The following is an 18,105-nucleotide window of genomic DNA, read 5'->3' as shown; positions in this document are numbered from 1 at the left end:
GGGCTGGATCACCCCACTGTGGGGGCCGCCCTGTACATTGCAGGACACTCAGTAGCAGCTCTGATCCCTGCTTACAAAATGCGGTCAGAACTCTCCTTCCAAGCCAAGACCACTACAGATGTCTCCAGACTTGCCAAATGTCCCCTGGGCAAAATCACTGCTGGTTGAGAGTCACTGCCTTAAAAGAACAGATTGCTACATTTCACTTCATCAAAAAATTTTAAAAATCGGTATGACTCCATATCATACAATTTAAAGGCAGGCAACATGATACAGGAAAATAGGTCTACCGTATATAAAGAATTGGCTGGCCGTGGTGGCTCACACTTGTAATCCCAGCACTTTGGGAGGCCGAGGCGGGCGGATCACAAGGTCAGGAGTTCGAGACCAGCCTGCCCAAGACAGTGAAACCCCGTCTCTACTAAAAATACAAAAATTAGCTGGGCATGGTGCTGGGCTCTGTAACCCCAGCCACTCAGGAGGCTGAGGCAGGAGAATCGCTTGAACCCGGAAAGCAGAGGTTGCAGTGAGCCGAAATCGTGCCACTGTACTCCAGCCTGGGTGACAGAGCTAGACTGTCTCAAAAAATAAATTAATAAAATAAAAGAGTAAATCCCTTATTATGTAAAGAATTCCTAGATATCAATAAAAGATAAACACCTCAGTGAAAAGGGCAAAGAAGTAAAGCAATTTGCAGAATGATTTGTGCATAATTTGTTGTATTATTTTAAACACTGTTCTCTGTTGTGTATTTATCTTTCTTTCCCCCCGAGACGGAGTCTCACTCTATTGCCCAGGCTGGAGTACAGTGGTGCAATCTTGGCTCACCGCAACCTCTGCCTTCTGGGTTCAAGTGATTCTCCTGCCTCAGCCTCCCGAGTAGCTGGGATTACAAATGTGCACCATCACACCCAGCTAATTTTTGTATTTTTAGTAGAGACGGGGTTTTGACATGTTGGCCAGGCTGGTCTTGAACTCCTGACCTCAAGTGATTTGCCCGCCTCAGGCTCCCAAAGTGCTGGGATTACAGGTGTGAGCCACTGCGCCTGACCTATCTACTTATTTATTTTTTTAAAAAGGCTGGAAGGCCACACTCAATTTTTAACGGCAGTTACCTTTAGAGAAGGGACTGTGCTGAGGGTGGCAGTCTGTAGGAGGTGGTTGTGGGAGGGTAGCTCTATCAGTATTTGAATTTTCACAAGAACATTCATCAGCTACTTGTGTAATCACAAAGTAAATAAAACATTTAAAAGACAAAATGTCAGGAAAGATTTTAGAATTCAAGAAAATTCTAAAAAAATTTTTTTTTTTTTTGAGACGGAGTTTCATTCTTGTTGCCCAGGCTGGAGTGCAATGGCACGATCTTGGCTCTCTGCAACCTCTGCCTCCCGGGTTCAAGCAATTCTCCTGCCTCAGCCTCCCGAATAGCTGGGATTACAGGCGCCTGCCACAATGCCCAGCTAATTTTTTTGTATTTTTAGTAAAGACAGGGTTTCACCATGTTGGCCAGACTGGTGTCAAACTCCTGACCTCAGGTGATCCACCCGCCTTGGCCTCCCAAAGTGTTGGGATTACAGGCATGAGCCACCGCACCCAGCTGAAAAACTTTTAAAAGAAATTTAGAAGGATGAATTGTAGAATGCTCAGGTGGGTTTCCTTCACCTGCTCTGACAGAACCAACACCAGGTATGGCTTCCTGTGGCACCGGCTCCTGATGCGGCGTGTTTGATATTACACTTGTTTACTCTTCACGGTCACCCTCATGACTTGGGTACTGATCATCTCCATTTTATAGATGAGGAACCCGAGGCAGAGAGACTATGGAATTGGCCCAAGGTCACGGAGTTATGAATGGCAAAGCAGAGTGCAACATCAGAGCTAACTTGTCGAAGTCTGAGTCTCTACAGGCTGGTCACCCAGAAAAGAAGCTGGCCTCCTGAAAAGCACCATGGAAACCAGCTCCAGCCTGGAATTGCTTGAAGCAATTCTGATCAACTGCAGGGATTGGGCCCCAGCCAGCCAACCACCATCGCGGCAGGGGAGGGGCCCGTGCCCCCTGCCTGCAGTCACACTCTGTGCTGGTGAGACAGAGTTAAAACCAAAGTGCCTCCATGTTACACTGCTATTGTATCCCAGCCCCATCCTACTGGGTCCTCAGCCCTACTGCTTCCTAATCATGCAGCTTAAAAGCCTCAGGCTAAATGCAATGTGGGATCCTGGATTGGATCCTAGAACAGAAAAAGGACATTAGTGGAAAAACCAGTGAAATTTGAATCAAGTCTGGAGTTAGTTATTAGTAGTGTACCATTTTGGTTTCTTAGTTTTGACAAATGTACCATGTAATATATCATTAACATTGGGGGAAACTGGGTGAGAGGTATTCCAAAATAAAAGGTGTGTGCGTGTGTGTGTGTGTGTGTGTGTGTGTGTGTGAAGCCCCACAGACAAGGATTGGGTCCCTCTCCTGGCCTCAGCCCTTCCATATCACTGTGCACTGCCCATTTAGAACATGATGGGACAACTGGCGACTCATACGCCTGCGTCTGTGACTGCCCCTAAGAGGGCTGCTCTGCCAGGGGCCCTTGTTTGCTCAACACCAGGATCCTAATGCAGGCACAAGAGTCTCTGCCTTCATTCCATCAAGCTGCCTCTCATATCGTGGGGGCCACATCCTTTCTTTCTTAGTAAATCCTAAGGGATGATCTTAGCACAAAGCCAGTTGCCCCAGAAATTGAAATGAGATTGTTAAGTACCATTAGAGGCTGGATCCATAGCCACTGAGGACATGGATACACTTGGTTCTTGGGGGAAACCCAAAGCCAATAAATACATTCTCCATATCAACCACAATTGATTTAAGTCCAAATGAACTACAAGTTGCATGCTAGAAGGTGTCTAAGTGTCAGTAACTAGATAACATAGAATCTCTTTACATACCATTTCAATTATTTTGTTGATATGTTTCTGCATTTCCATAAGCATCTCGACACCCTGTAAGTAGAACAACCATGATCTTCCACAGTTGCAGACTAGAAAATTTAAGTATAAAAACTTATAACACGTGGCTATTTCTAACTCAGAGTATTTGTAGAGTCCCTGATTAGCAGATGATATGCTCTACAAAATCAGTAGATTAAATGTTAATCTTCGCCCCAGTTTTCATTGGGTTGAATGTGAATGAGAGGTTCTTCTCCCTCAGTAGCCTCTCTTCGACCTTTCAGAACTGACTGGTTCAGTTGCTTGGATCAAGTTAGCTTCATCCTCTTTTATGGTCTCTGGACCAACCTGGATAACTTTCTTCTTCTTTTTTCTTTTTTATTTTTTTTTTTGAGATGGAGTTTCACTCTGTTGCCCAGGCTGGCGTGCAGTGGCAATGATCTCGGCCTACTGCAAACTCCGAATTGTTCAAGCAATTCTCTTGCCTCAACCTCCCAAGTAGCTGGGATGACAGGCATGCACCACCATGCCTGGCTAATTTTTGTATTTTTAGTAGAGACGGGGTTTTGCCATGTTGGCCAGGCTGGTCTCGAACTCCTGACCTCAGGCCATCCTCCCATCTTGGCCTCCCAAAGTGCTGGGATTACAGGCGTGAGGCACCATGCCTGGCCAGCCTAGATAACTTTCCCACAATACATGTCACAGATCACCAAGGTAGTCTGGATTAGAGTGGCTGAATCAGTATAAATCTACTGTCCCTTAAAAAGTAGAAAAGTATGTTGTGATGATGAGATCTACATACAAAGACCTGATAAAGAATGGCATTCCTCGTGCTCTGGTATGCAAACAGCTCAACAGATACTAACTAAAGGAAAGATCCTGACACCAGGATCTGAATACGATCTGACAGATGATAAGCCAGATATAAATAGTATTCTTCTGCAACTGATAAACTGTAAGGCAATAACTATTTTAAGAAAGAATTCTTTATCATGAAAAATCTTGATTTTTTTTTTCTTACTGATTTCCACTAAGATAAACTATCACTCAACTTATTACTGGAGGGGGCTTGGGGAAAGCTTTCTGTACTTTTTTACAAAGCATCTCCTATAGATCATGAACCTTTGGTCATCATGATTTAAAGAGGCATATTGACTCTTTCAGGCTACTGAGGAGTAGTATAGATCCTTGCACACCTCTGAGTGGTGAACCTGCAACTTGAGATTTATTCACTCCACAAATATGCACTAAAAGTCTCATAGGTGCCAGGCAAGTCCTGGAGTTCTTACTTAACAGAGTGGGCTGCTAGGAAGTGCTAGCTTTCACTTGCTGCTGCCATAGGGCACAGTGCAGAGTAAATAAGATGCCCCCAAATAACAACCTTCCAGCACTTTCTAGGTCTGCAGAGTTTCTCAGCCATGGCTTGTCTGTGAGTCAACAGCATGAGCCAGTGCTGTAATGAAACCAGACATCTAAGTTGCTCTGCATGTGCTCCCTTTGGTTTGAGGTCTTTCTTCCCACTTCTCTGATTTCCTAAAATATTTTTTTTCTCATTTTATCCTTAATTCCCCACTAAAAGTTCATCAATGACGGAGTATATATATATATATATATATTTTTTTTTTTTTTTTAGAAAAGGTAATTTAAGATAATGTAAGGTACTTGTTTGGTTGTTAATTCAGGATGGGGTATACAAATCACTTCTTTCATTAAATTTAGCTTCCCAGATGATGACTTCCCACAGCTGACCAGCGATACCATCAGCAAAGGCATAGATAGCGTTGTTGGCTGTTCCTGAAATAGGGGGAAAACGAGGGAAAATGAGAAACAGGGTTCATCCATATTGAGATACTCATGGCTCCTTTTAATGGAACTTCATAGATACTAACCTGATTGTGCTTCAGTAGAGCGATATTTAAGTACAGAGGTTTATTAAGCAGCATGGCACAGGCTTTGGCAACAGCTAGTGACACGGCCCCTATGGCCATACTGCCACTGAGTACAGGCTCAACAGGCTCTGCAGGCGCAATAGGTTTCTCTGTAATAGTATCCTTCCTCCCTGGAGGGAGAAATATTGAGAGTAAGACTGTATTTCTAAATGCTTTACTTACAGATGGAAAGACCCAGGAAAAAGAAAGGATGAAAGCCGAGGCTGGGAACAACAAATGCTCTACCTCAACCCCCAAAAAGTTTTCTGTTTGCTTTTGCTTAAGATTCTCAAATAATCATTAGCCATGGATTTTGCCTGTCTAAGACATTTTAGGCCATTTAATATTAATTCCTTCATCAATCATATGAGGTAGATATTTTTATTCTACATTTACATATACATAAACTGGGGCTTAGAGGGGTTAAAAGACTTGCCCAACATGTAACAGAAAGTAGATAGAGGATTTGAACTGTCTTGAAATTTCAAATCATTTGTTTTTCTATATTTCACCATAGCTGCTGCACACTCAACTTTCTGCTGAACATCTCTGCATGAATATATCTAACTTGCTGTCTTTCTCACCAACACCAAACCAATGCCTTGTTCTGTGTCATTTACGTTCTTTAGCAGTGCCTTTCAGATCCAATCATTGACCCACATTCCTTACCCATCTTTCACTAGAATATGTTCTCAGCCTCCCTGTCTCATGAGGTCCGGACAGAGTCCATCATATATCTCTAGTGTTCCTCTTGTCCGTTCCTTCACAGCTGCGGATGTGGTTCAGGTCCCCAGTGGAGATAAGATATTTCAGCACCTCACGCTTAATGAGCGCTTAGCAAATAGCTGTGCCCTCCCACTTCTTCCCTTAAGTTCCACATTCTATTAGTCAAAAGCAACCATCAAACGAACATCCATGTTGGTCTCTACTTATAACTCAGTAGTGGCCATCCCACCCTCCCATGGGAAGATTGCTCAAACATAATTATTTTGTCTCGGGGCAAATCTCTTCACTTCTCTGGGCCTCAGCATCTGGATCTATGAAATAAGGTACCCTGCCTCCCTGGTCTCTTTGGTCCCTTCCTGGTTCTGGTGCTTTCTTACTCAATGGAACCCACATTATTTGGGTGTATGGTTCGTGCCTGGCATCATGCTAGATACGGGCAATGGCAAGTGGAATAAACATGATTCATGCCCTCAAGGAGCACGTTCTAGTTCAGCAGACATACAAAACCCTGTTATTATACCAAGAGCAGCTCCAGAATGAACAGTACTGCAGGGGCTGAGGTTAGCAATCTGTTGGAAGGCATGGAGCAAGGGCAAATTGAAGTGATAATTTCTATTATTTGCTTTAAAATAAAGTTTCATAAAGAAAATGTTTATTTTACATAGGATTGAGAAAATGTTGGTTGTTCATATCAAAGGAATCAAAACTCTAAGATATGGAGTGGCTTTTGGATTAGCTAATGGAAATTTTGAAAGGAGGTGAAAGGTCTCCCATGCCATCCCCTCCCACTCTACCCCCAATTTGGCACCGCTCAATGCACCTTATTTAATAATAAGTATTTATCACCTCTGGGTGAGAAACTGTTTTATTTTACAAATAAAAAGGAGAGTGGGATGGGGGCAAAATCTTTGAGTGAGGATGTGGCATAGGATGGATGGCTTTTAGCCGTGAGCCCAAAGTAGGCCTGTAGCCAAGAGACTCAGAAAGGCAGTCCAGGCTTCAGCCTTTCTTCCTCACACATTTGTTACTAACGACTCTGCAAGATAAGTCACCAACCAACCTGGCTTTTGCCCCTTTTTTTTGGTAGGAGGTGGAGGGGGTGGTGGTGGTGGTACTGGAGGTAGAGGTGTAGGCACTGTTGAGTATTCCAGGCTCTTTTCCAATTCTTTTCTCCCCTTATCTTCTTGTACTTTACTTGCGAAGAATATCCTTAATAGCAAGAAAATATGGCTTTACAGTGGGATATTTAGGAATATCACTCTGTGATTTTGGTCATGTTTTAGAGATGACCCCATATATTTCAATAAATAACTGCTTTTCAGCTACTTAAGAACAAATCAACTTTAATTTTCAAAGCCAGTAAACAATGATGCTGTTATAAAACTGCATTCAAGAACTGAAATTCATTTTGGCATGGAAATAAATGTTTAAAGATTTCAGGTGCTCATTTTTAAATTATTTGAGCGCCCTGGGTTTGCATTTTTAGAGTAAAACTTGAAGATGTAATTTTATTGTGGGTTACAGTATTTTCTTTTTGTATAAATGACCATCAGAAAACAAATGTGTCAAGAATAGAGTGAAATATAGCATATAAATAGAGAGGACTTCCTTTCTTTTTTCTTGACACTTAGGGTTAATATTTAAAAAAAACTTTTGGAAATCCCACTTAGATGCATTTATGTAAAATTTCAGCACCCCAAAATAAAGAGGCTAAAAACTTCTATAGGCAAAAAACCAGGCAAATAAAAAACAAAGACATAGGAATCAGATTTGTATCAGATGTATTAATAATCCAGATGCCAGTAGGGCAATGCCTTTAAAGTATGAGAGAAATTGATTTCAACAGAGAATTCTATACTCAGCTAAACTATCAACCATGGGGGCAAAGTATCAACATTCCCACACATAAAATAACTAAGAAACTTTACATCCCATATACCCTTTCTCATCCTTACTTTTAAAGGATACAATCCAGCAAATCATGAAAGAAAAGAATGTGGGTTCCAAAAACAGGAGAACAATGAGGTTTTTATGGCATCTCTGTAGTTGGTCTACAGAAGAACCAGTCCAGATGGGTGGTTTGGGGAGGGAAAATGCCAGGAAAAAAAGGAGTGTAATAAAATACAAGATGTAACTGAGAGCTTGAGAAAAAAATAATAAACTAAGAAAATGATAACAGCACATGAAGGGGGAAAAAAAAGGAATAGAGGAATAGCATTCAGAAACTCCAAGAAAACCCAAAACTATTCAAAAAAGTTTCTTGGCTGGGCGCAGTGGCTCATGCCTCTAATCCCAGCACTTTGGGAGGCCGAGGCAGGTGGATCACTTGAGGTCAGGAGTTCTTGACCAGCCTGGCCAACATGGTGAAAACACATTTCTACTAAAAATAAAAAATTAGCTGGGCATGGTGGCAAGTGCATGTAATCCCAGCTACTCAGAGGCTGAGGCAGGAGAATCGCTTGAACCTGGGAGGTGGAGATTGTGGTGAGCCGAGATCATGCCACTGCACTCCAGCCTGGGTGACAGAGGAAGACTCCATCTCAAAAAAAAAAAAAAGTTTCTGTTACAAAGGTCATTATCTTACTCTGAAGCAAACTAAAATGTTATATACAATTAAGTAAGTGATAAAGCTTAAGAAAAGAGAATCCAATTGACCTTCTATTGGCCAAAGGGTTGTGGCATTGGACCTGCACAAACAGGAAAATGATTCTAACTCACTACTTGGTTGGGGAATGAAGAACATTTCCATAGCCCTAGTAAATGCTTCCTTGTTAGCGTGTTTGAGTCAACCTATGGGCAAAGCATGGGAGACTTAGTTGTGGCTGGAGGACTGAATGTAAGTGTCAGCTGTTGTGACTAAATAAAAGGATATGAGGAGCTCACAGGTGGCATGTGACAGGTGGGGAGAAGAAAAAGGCATCCTCTGGATTCATAATCGGATTGTTTTTCTGAGAAGCTTTTTACTAAGTCTTAGGAAAGCTCTATACATGAAAAGAGACCGAAAAGCCCTATGTAGTGTTACATAGTAAGGTGTTAACTACATGGTTTTCAGGAGAAAAACAAATTTTATGCTAAATGTTGCTGCTTTCACATACGCTTTGTAAACTGACTTCCCAATTCTATAGATTTGACAGACCCATTTTATTGGCAGGTGAAATGGAAAGATAATGGACGTATATTTGTACTTGATTTTCTTTTTTTTTTTTTTTTGATACAGAGTCTCGCTCTGTCGCCCAGGCTGGAGTCCAGTGGCGCGATCTCAGCTCACTGCAAGCTCCGCCTCCCGGGTTCACGCCATTCTCCTGCCTCAGCCTCCCGAGTAGCTGGGACTACAGGCGCCCACCACCATGCCCGGCTAATTTTTTGTATTTTGAGTAGAGACTGGGTTTCACCGTGGTCTCGACCTCCTGACCTCGTGATCTGCCCGCCTCGGCCTCCCAAAGTGCTGGGATTACAGGCGTGAGCCACTGTGCCCGGCTTGTACTTGATGTTTATATTTCAAAGTGGAAACTGTACCTGAGTAGGTGATCCACCTCTGCCTGGTCAGAGGGTGCCATCCCCTGGAGCTCGTGCGTGATGGTGCTGTTGACCCACTGCACGGCGGTGCTCACCGCGCTGGCCCTCTCTGCCTCCTCCGCCTTGGCCAGCTCGGGCAGAGCATTCTCATGGACTTCAAAATGAGTCGAGATCACCACAGAACATACGTTCTGAAAATCATATAAATGTGTTCAACACTTTCCCTACCTCTCCCAGAAAGAGGAAATTAAATGAATCCAGCTTTTAACATGCATGAAATTTTACCACCAATTTCAAGGGGACAATGAGAATATATAATTTTCTTTGAGATATTTTTATAGCTGTTGAAACACTATGGAACTCAGCTTCATAGAACACTTAAAATACCCTTAGAAAAACCCTACATCAAACTTCATTTTTATCACTACCTCTCCAATAAATAACAATAAAAATCAGACTTAATCATCATTATTCTCCTACCAGAGACTATGGCAAAAATTATTTCTAACAAATATGTAGCAAAGTGAATTAAAACGAATTGTTAAAATTATTAAAGTAAATTATTTTCTTTCTTTAGGTCAGTCTAACATCTATAAATGTCTAGGTAAATAGACTAATCTATAAACCTACATGTAGATTTATAGAACCTATCACATGAGTAATGTCAGAGTTTATAAACTATTTTTGCCTCATTTCCATTATCCATGTTGGATCATCCTCAGGTTAGCATGTCATGTCTGTATCAAAATTACACTTAAACATAATAAAGCCATCATGGTTGATGGTATGATTCATGCTTACATGACTACCTATGAAATATATTTCACAAACACTGAATTTCAAAACAATAATTTTCTACAGCTTAGACAAGTGTTGCTAATAAATGCAGTGGGGCCAGGACATTAAAGAACACACTTAAACTGCCTCATACCTTGGGAAAGTTTTGAATGGTGCAGAATATGTCCACTTGCAGGGTTGGAAGCCCCAGTCCATCTAGTACGTCTTTCCCCACTATTTTGCATATGGTGGGAGGCTTTGCAAGTTTAGAAAAGCAGTTTGCCTTCAACACACACAAAAGAACAAAAATCATCTGGTTCAAGTTGTTGTTTGGGGAAAAAAGTCACAATACCATATCTACTTTATCTTCAAAAGGTCATTCACATTGACTCTAGTTTCTACCAAACCTCTCCGCGAGTATTCTTCCTGATGCCAGGATTAGACTAGCAGTTCTGTGAGAACTGCCCTGCCCTTACATACCGAGATATGGATTCAGCCCACTCCTGAGTCTCTGGTATGTGGGGCAATTTGGTGTATGTTGAACTCTCAACAGAAACTTGCATACGTTTCTTAATTAAAAGGCCCTGTGTCACTGATTAGCAGGCCTTCTTCAACAGAGACGGTCTCACTCTGTTGCCAGGCTGGAGTGCAGTGGTGTGATCTCGGCTCACTGCATTCTCCGCCTCCCAGGTTCAAGCAGTTCTCCTGCCTCAGCCTCCCGAGTAGCAGGGACTACAGGCGTGCGCCATCATGCTCAGCTAATTTTTGTATTTTTAGTAGAGATGGGGTTTCACCATGTTGGCCAGGATAGTCTCAATCTCTTGACCTCGTGATTCACCCACCTTGGCCTCCCAAAGTGCTGGGATTACAGGCTAGCAGGCGTTCTTATAGTCAATTCAGTTGCCTAAGCTATCCCTCTTTTCTTTTTCTTTCTTTCTTTTTTTTTTTTTTTTTTTTTTTTTTTTGAGACAGGGTCTTGCTCTGTCAGCCAGGCTGGAGAGCAGTGGCACCATCACGGCTCACTGCAGCCTCAACTTCCCAGGCTCAAGTGATTCTCCCACCTCAGCCTCCCGAGTAGCTGGGACCATAGGCACACGCCACCACACCCGGCTAATTTTTACATTTTGTAGATACAGGATCTTATTATGTTGCTCAGGCTGGTCTCAAACTCCTGGCCTCAAGCAATCCTTCCGCCTCAGCCTTCCAAAGTGCTGGGATTACAGGTGTCAGCCACTGTGCCCAGCCCCCTTGTTTCAAGATACAGAAACCAACTGGTCTCTAGAACACCATGACGCATTCAAATTTCAGAAACCTGACATGGGCTGAATTTTTTTTTTTTTTTTTTTAAGACAGAGTCTCACTCTGTCACCCAGGCTGGAGTACAATGGCATGATCTCTGCTCACCGCAACCTCTGCCTCCTGGGTTCAAGCGATTCTCCTGCCTCAGCCTTCCGAGTAGCTGGGATTACAGGCGTGCACCAAAACGGCTGGCTAATTCTTTTGTATTTTTAGTAGAGATGGGGTTTCAACATGTTGGCCAGGCTAGTTTCAAACTCCTGACCTCGTGATCCGCCTGCCTCAGCCTCCCAAAGTGCTGGGATTACAGCCGTGAGCCACCGCGCCCGGCACATGGGCTCATTTTTATTCCTCCCAGCAAGGCACGTGATATTTTAGTGGTGAAGACTTACGTGACGGCTGTATCTTACCATCAGCTCATTCATAGTCCTATGTGTTCAAGGAGGCTTGTTGGGAGCCTTAGTAATTGCAGTTTCATTGAGGTGGAAAAGCAGAAGCCATTTGGAAGTGATCTAAGAAGGAGACTGAAGAAAGAGAAGCTGAGATAGAAAGCCCACTCGAGAAGCCTGCAAGAAAACGCTCAGGAAGGTGTTTCTGTGCAGAGGAGCAGGAGCTAGGAGAGACTAGAAGGAGGGAAGGTGAAGGCACACCTTTATTGCTCTCTTGATTACCAGATAGGACTGGGCTTTGCTTTCATTTAGCAGACACCAGGTCTCTGATCTTTCAGTTCAAAATCCAGTGACTTCAACCTGGACAACAGGTCATCTAATACCCACAGCGACATGCCAGTTCAGAGGTGGGGCCCCAGAAGTATTAAGCAAGAGCTCATTTTCAAGCTATCCGTGGATTCTTTAAATGGTGGTTTGTATGTTACAGAGTAAGTGCCTAAATGAATTTAGAATCAGGAGAGCAAAAATGTTATTTAGCTTACACTCTGTGTGTTATAGTGAGTTCAGTTTAACAAGCACCAAGCACCTATAATGTGCCGCGTGTTGTGTTAGGAGAGGAAAGGAACTAACATTTTTGAAGTGCTTAATATGGGCTGTGAAAGAATGACTTCTTTATCACTATATCTCAAACCACAGGGCCTGACATATATAGGATTCTATAAATTAAATCTCGTATAAATTAATAAATGTCAGTGACATCCCTGGGCACTGTATATACATTATGTCATTACATTCAACTCTCTAAGCTATGTGATATCATCTCCATCCCACAGATGGGCAGACAGTTCCACAAAAATTAACTGTCCAAGATCACTTAGCTAATGTTTTCATTATCTACTGCTTTGGTTTTTTTTTTTTTTTTTTTTGAGACGGAGTCTCACTCTGTCACCCAGGCTGGAGTGCAGTGGCACAATCTTGGCTCGCTGCAAGCTCCGCCTCCCGGGTTCACGCCATTCTCCTGCCTCAGCCTCACGAGTAGCTGGGACTACAGTCGCCCGACACCACTCCCAGCTAATTTTTTGTATTTTTAGTAGAGACAGGGTTTCACCGTGTTAGCCAGGATGGTCTCGATCTCCTGACCTTGTGATCCGCCCGCCTCAGCCTCCCAAAGTGCTGGGATTACAGGCGTGAGCCACCGCGCCCGGCCATTATCTACTGCTTTGTAACAGACCACCCCAAACCTTGGTGGTTTAAACCATTAACTTGCTCATGGTCCTGTAATCTGGGTGGGGCTTCAACTGGGAAATTCTTTTGCTGGGCTTCTCTGGAGTCCCTTATGCAGATGTAATCATCTGGAGGCTTGACAGGAGCCAGCATATCCAAGCTGTTTTCACTCAATGTCCAGTGCCGTAGCTGGGATGGCTGGCACAGTGAGGGGTTGGCTGGGCATCTATCTTTCTCACAGGATATCCTGAGGGGTCTCGTATCTGCCAAGGTCTTTCTCTACACAACCTCACTCTTTCCAGTAGGGTAATTGGGACATCCTCACAGCATGATGACTAGATTCCAAGAGGACAAGCTTCCATATGCCAGCACTGATCAACTCTCTGTTTGTATCGTGTTTGTCAAGGTCCTATTGATCAAAGTAAGTGACATAGCCAATTCCAGAGTCAGTGTGGGAGGGACTTACAAAAAGGTGTTCACACTGGAAGTGTAGTTTCTTGGAGGACCATCAGTGTAACTCTATCACAGTGAGGAAGTGGCAGAGATAAGAATCAAAACCAGATCTGCCACATTCCCAGTCCAAAACTCTCTCATTCAGTTTTATGATGATGGAATAAATTGTATTGTTATTGCCTACAAGGATCTTTACCATGTGTGAATTCCTCTAATATGTCTGTCTTAGTTTGTTCTCACACTGCTATCAAGGACTGCCTGAGACTGGGTAATTTATAAAGGAAAGAGGTTTAATTGACTCACAGTTCTGCACAGCTGCAGAGGCCTCAGGAAACTTACAATCATGGTGGAGGGAGAAGCAAACACATCCTTCTTCACATGAGGGCGGGAAGGAGAAGTGCAAAGTGAAGCGGGGAAGCCCCTTATAAAACCATCAGCTCTCATGAGAAGTCACTATCACGAGAACAGCATGAGAGTAACCACCCCCATAATTTAATTACCTCCCACCCGGTCCCTCCCCACATGTCATATGTGGGGATTATGAGCAGTACAATTCAAGATGAGGTTTGGGAGGGGATAGAGCCAAGCCATATCAATGTTGGAGAGGGACAGAAGAAATGACATTGGAGCTGAACACTGGAGGAGGTATAGTGTTTCAGTGCCAGTCAAGGGGGAGATGTGGTGAGCAGATATTTCAGGGAGAGAGAATGGGACAAGCAAAGAGGAGGGAGGTAGGAAACTTCTGGCTTTGGGGAACAGTCAGTGATTCGGTGTAGAGGAGGAGGGCAGGGAGTGGGAGATGCGCCTGTTACCAGAGGGAGGGGCTGAGCACTGTGAACCACACACATGAAGGCCAGCAAGCACGGGAAAGCCACAGGAGGTTCTGAGGAAGAGAAGTGTGGTCAGACTTGCATGTTAGGACACTGCTCTGGCAGCATTCTGCAGGATGAACTAGATAGAGGGAGAGACGAGGTGAGAGTAAGCACGGCCAAAACTAGGGCAGTTACTAAGAAAAGGAAAAGGAGATTGCTTTTTTCTGTTTTTCTTTTTGAGACGGAGTCTCGCTCTGTTGCCGAGGCTGGAGTGCAGTGGTGCAATCTCGGCTCACTGCAACCTCCGATTCCCAGGTTCAAGGAGTTTGCTTTTTTGCCTCTGCAATTCCTGAACATCCTTCGAAGTCCAAGCCAAAGCCTTCCTGGATATACAGCCTCCAAGGATCTTTTCCATCCCTGAATTCCTTTAATAGGCATATAGGGATCTGCCCCTCAATCTAGCACACAGTCATCTATCACCTTATCTTTTGCTCCAATTATTTTATGTATTAGTGACTTTTGTCCCAAACTAAGATGTAAGTTCCCAGAGAGCTGTACAAACGAATATCCTGGCTGCCTAATAGAATAAGAAGATCATTATACTGGGGAACAAGAGTCCATGTTTTTAGTCCTAGCTTGTACACTAAGTAGCTGTGAGACAAAGACTTGGTGTCCCTGTAAAATGAGGACGTTAGAATAGATTGTGTTCAAGAATTCCTCTAGCAACAGATAGTAGGAAGAGAATGGAATGAGAGTCAAGCATTCACTCATTCATCCTGCAGGTAGTTTCTCAGCATCCACTGTGTGCCATGCACTCTGCTGGGTACTAGGGACACAAATGTGGTTTGATTTTTTTTCTTCTGTCACTATGTCCTTTGGGAAAATCATTTAAATTGCACTGGCCACAGGTTCTTTATTTGTAAAATGGGAATCATCATTTTTACCTCGTCGCAGTGGTACTGAGGATTGAGTTACAGTACGCAGCACAAGGGGCTCAGTAAACCCCACACCTCTCCCCTTTGATAGTATAGGCCATGAGTGGGAAAAAGTCATTCGCGGAACATCCTTTATATCAACTGCCTCAATACGACGTGGTTTTGCACCCTGACAGCACATCTGCCTCTTCATAGGACTCCTTCTGCTTGGTGTTCACATTGCCTCCTTGCTTTGCCTTGCCATAGTGCAAACTCCTAGGGGCCCCAGCCACACTGCCTTCCTTACTACTTATAGATCTGGAAGGGAGAAAACGTCTTTGCTTCAGCTGCTCACTGCTTAACGCTAAGGTATGTGCCAGATCTCAGGGCTGGGCAGAGACCCGGAAGGTGAGAAGACAAGGCTTCTGAGCCCAGCAGGGGCTCACAGGCTGCCTAGGGAGGCTGCCTCAAGAGACTACAATACACGAAGGAAATGCTGTAGGAACCCAGAAGGACGGTTGGTCCAGGGCTACGTGGGCAAGGCTTTGGTCTGAATTTTGGAGTTTAGGGCGGGGCTGGTCAGATATTAACTGGCATCCCGGCAGAGGAGCCAGTAGGATGAGGCCCCAGAATAGGCTGAAGCCAAGTTGTAGCAAACGCCAAGGTGTTCATCCTGTGATCAAAGAGGAGCTGCTTAAGGTCGGTGAGCTGAGCTGAGGGCATTAAGGTATGTGTTAAAAATGACAATTGGCAAGCATGGGCGGTGGGCCGGCCCACAAACGGAGAGGCCTCTTAGGCAGCGAGGAAGCCTGCCAGCCCCTGGGCTGCCGCTGCAGGTCAAATACGCCTAGCGCCCTCTTTCCTCCAGCTGCCTCCTTTCTGCCACTTTCTCTGGGGAGATCCCTTCACCCCTGGGTGTCCTTCCCGCTCCTTCCCTCCAGAAGTCTCCTCCGCACACGCAGGCCCAGGGCCCGGGCGGCTGGCATGCGAGATTCTGAGGCGCAGGCGCAGGCGCAAGGCGTTGCCGCAGCGCGGGGCGGGGGGAGAGGGGTTGGCGGGAGGAGAGCGCTTGTCCCAGGTCCCTACCAGGTGCCCGTAGACGTCGGCAGGCTGGAGGTAGAAGGTGGAGTTGAGCAGCTCTTCCAGCCTGCGCGGAACGTCGTTCTCCCGGTAGTACTCCATCGCCTGCTGCTTCAGCTTCTGCAGCTCCCTAGTGGTCCCACAGCTGCGGCCGCCGCCTTCTTCCTCCATGGTAGGAGATTTAAGGCTACAGCGGGGTTTAGCCTGGGGTCCCACGAGCGTCCCTGCTGTCGCTAGGCAACGCAACGTGATCCCGACCCCCAGATCTCGCGTGGCTTCCAGGCCTAGGTTCTTCCTGCGGTAAAAGTCGTTCCCTTTTATTGGAGCTAGGATGGTATTTGCGCTCGCTGCTCTGTCTTTTCTCCCTGCGGCATTAGGTCCGGGGGTTGGGCTCCTCCTAGACTCCCGAGACTAGGGCCCTCCCGGCTTCGTTTTTCACCACTTTTCCCTGGCGATTTTCCAGAGGGGGAAATCTTTAACGACCTCATCAAGCGCGTTTTGCCGGAGCGCGGCAGCCTTAGCTCCGAATTCCGGCTGGGGTCGCGCGCTCGGGTCCCAGTGGCCCAGCGTCTTGGGCCACCCCGCCCTCCCCACGCGCCCCCTTGCTCTCTGCTGTTAGTGAGCTCCTCCGGGTTGCTAAGGCCGCCCGTGCCAGGCAGGCCCACTCTGTTGGGGGAGGGATGTAGGGGCTCAGGGCATCCTTACTGAGCGGTGGCGATCTCAGGAATTCTTTCATTCGGCTCATGTTTATTAACTACCTGCTCTGAGCCGAGCCGTGTGCTGGCTGGGCCTGCTATGATGTCCAGGAGAGAAACGGCCACTTGCCCTTCTCTGGGATATTAGTGGGGGTGAAATCAATGGAATGAAAAAAACCAGTGTGGGTTGAAAATATCTGGGGTGAACCCTAAGGGATGGTTGTGGTTTGGGCAGACCTAAGGATGGGGGATGATTCAGGCAGGACTTGGGGAGGTAAAACGGAAATGGGGGAATGGCCTTGGCTCACGTTCCCTCTCCAGAATGCTGCCTATGTCCTTGCCCTTTTCAATCCGAAGTGCCTTCCTGGCTTCATTGTACCTGCCAGGTATCATGCGATTACAGAACTTAGTGTGCGTCCTCAGTTCTAGATACTTCCTCTGCTGCAGGAGTGGGCGGCGACGGACAGGGTGTTCTTGTTCCACTCACGCCTGTTTATGTTTCCTACCTAAGCAGATCAGTTACAAGATCTGTGCCACACTTTCCCCCCTCTGGAAAACATCATCTTACCTCCTCTGCCTGTTTCCCGAGTCACTTAGTACAAAATGAGGAAGTGAGTGAGAAAGCACTTTGAAACACAGTTATTTTCAATACATGCACGTATGGGTGCAGATGCATAAAAATGTGATGCTATAAGTACTGTTACACAAACCCAGACATGCACCTTCCAAACTTCCTCCGTGTTCTCTCTGCTCTCTTACGGAACGTCTCACTGTCTGTGTGTAATGGACCATCATGAACCTGCCTTCTCTCCTTGCTAGATGGAAATCCCCTGACGGTAGAATCTGAGTCTGTGTTACCTTCACATCCACCACGGAGCCTGGGGCCCTGCAAGGGCAGAGGATGTGCTCTGCTGAATAGGTGTTGAGTGAACCCTTATGCAAAATAAGCTGACACTATTGCTGCTGTTTCCATTTCACCTTTTTGCCTTTCCTCATACACCCCTGGAAGAAAGGCACCTGCTTCTCTCCTATGTTCATCCTTGAGTGCCTGGGTTGAGTCCCACATCAAAGAAGCCACGTCCACAATCCAGCTCTCACTCCAGCCAGCCCTTCCTTCTGAACTCTTTCCCCATTTGCAGCCTGGACCACAAAGTTCAGCCCTCAGGGATGTCTTGATTCATTTGACATCTCAATGGAAGATTGCGAGTATCCTGGGCTGGGACCACCATGTCTTAAGAGTCTCCCCCTATAACCCTATAACCCATTTGCCTCAGTTCCAGGAGGACAGCGACTTGATTTGTCTTGTTCGCCACTGTGTCTGCAGCATCATTACATTACCTGATGGAATAGCTGCTCAG

General features: G+C 45.2%; 2 protein-coding genes across 8 annotated transcripts in view, besides 1 other annotated feature; one reads left to right on the top strand and one right to left on the bottom strand.

Moving 5' to 3' along the window:
- Nucleotides 1–16,291, bottom strand: part of ENO4 (enolase 4) — a 62,877-nt gene extending 46,586 nt beyond the window's left edge. For 4 of the 5 annotated variants that reach the window (XM_006717835.4, NM_001242699.2, XM_011539797.4 and 1 more), the window contains exons 1-7: nt 16,059–16,291; nt 10,039–10,167; nt 9,108–9,298; nt 6,652–6,800; nt 4,827–4,996; nt 4,600–4,731; nt 2,938–2,991 (exon numbers count right to left, since the gene is read on the bottom strand). In XM_006717835.4, the coding sequence (XP_006717898.1) occupies nt 2,938–2,991; nt 4,600–4,731; nt 4,827–4,996; nt 6,652–6,800; nt 9,108–9,298; nt 10,039–10,167; nt 16,059–16,223 (990 nt within the window). In that variant the 5' untranslated portion in view covers nt 16,224–16,291. The remainder of the gene's footprint in view (nt 1–2,937; nt 2,992–4,599; nt 4,732–4,826; nt 4,997–6,651; nt 6,801–9,107; nt 9,299–10,038; nt 10,168–16,058) is intronic. The other variant, XM_047425228.1, reaches the window with a different exon arrangement.
- HSPA12A (heat shock protein family A (Hsp70) member 12A) overlaps nt 15,043–18,105 on the top strand; it is a 179,556-nt gene continuing 176,493 nt past the window's right edge. For 2 of the 3 annotated variants that reach the window (NM_001330164.2, XM_011539579.3), the window contains exon 1: nt 16,068–16,224. In NM_001330164.2, the coding sequence (NP_001317093.1) occupies nt 16,222–16,224 (3 nt within the window). In that variant the 5' untranslated portion in view covers nt 16,068–16,221. Of the gene's footprint in view, nt 15,700–16,067; nt 16,225–18,105 lie in introns of those variants that run through there. The other variant, XM_005269673.6, reaches the window with a different exon arrangement.
- Nucleotides 17,475–17,644: an enhancer, noted in NCBI's record as "active region_4095". NCBI's record gives its function as "activates an Ori minimal core promoter by ATAC-STARR-seq in GM12878 lymphoblastoid cells {active_cell/tissue: GM12878}" and the evidence as "EXISTENCE:reporter gene assay evidence [ECO:0000049][PMID:35858748]".

This window comes from Homo sapiens, chromosome 10 (assembly GCF_000001405.40).
Source record: "Homo sapiens chromosome 10, GRCh38.p14 Primary Assembly".
Lineage (NCBI taxonomy): Eukaryota > Metazoa > Chordata > Mammalia > Primates > Hominidae > Homo > Homo sapiens.
Note: the sequence above shows the minus strand (reverse complement) of the source record. Positions and strands in the feature narration are given on the sequence as shown.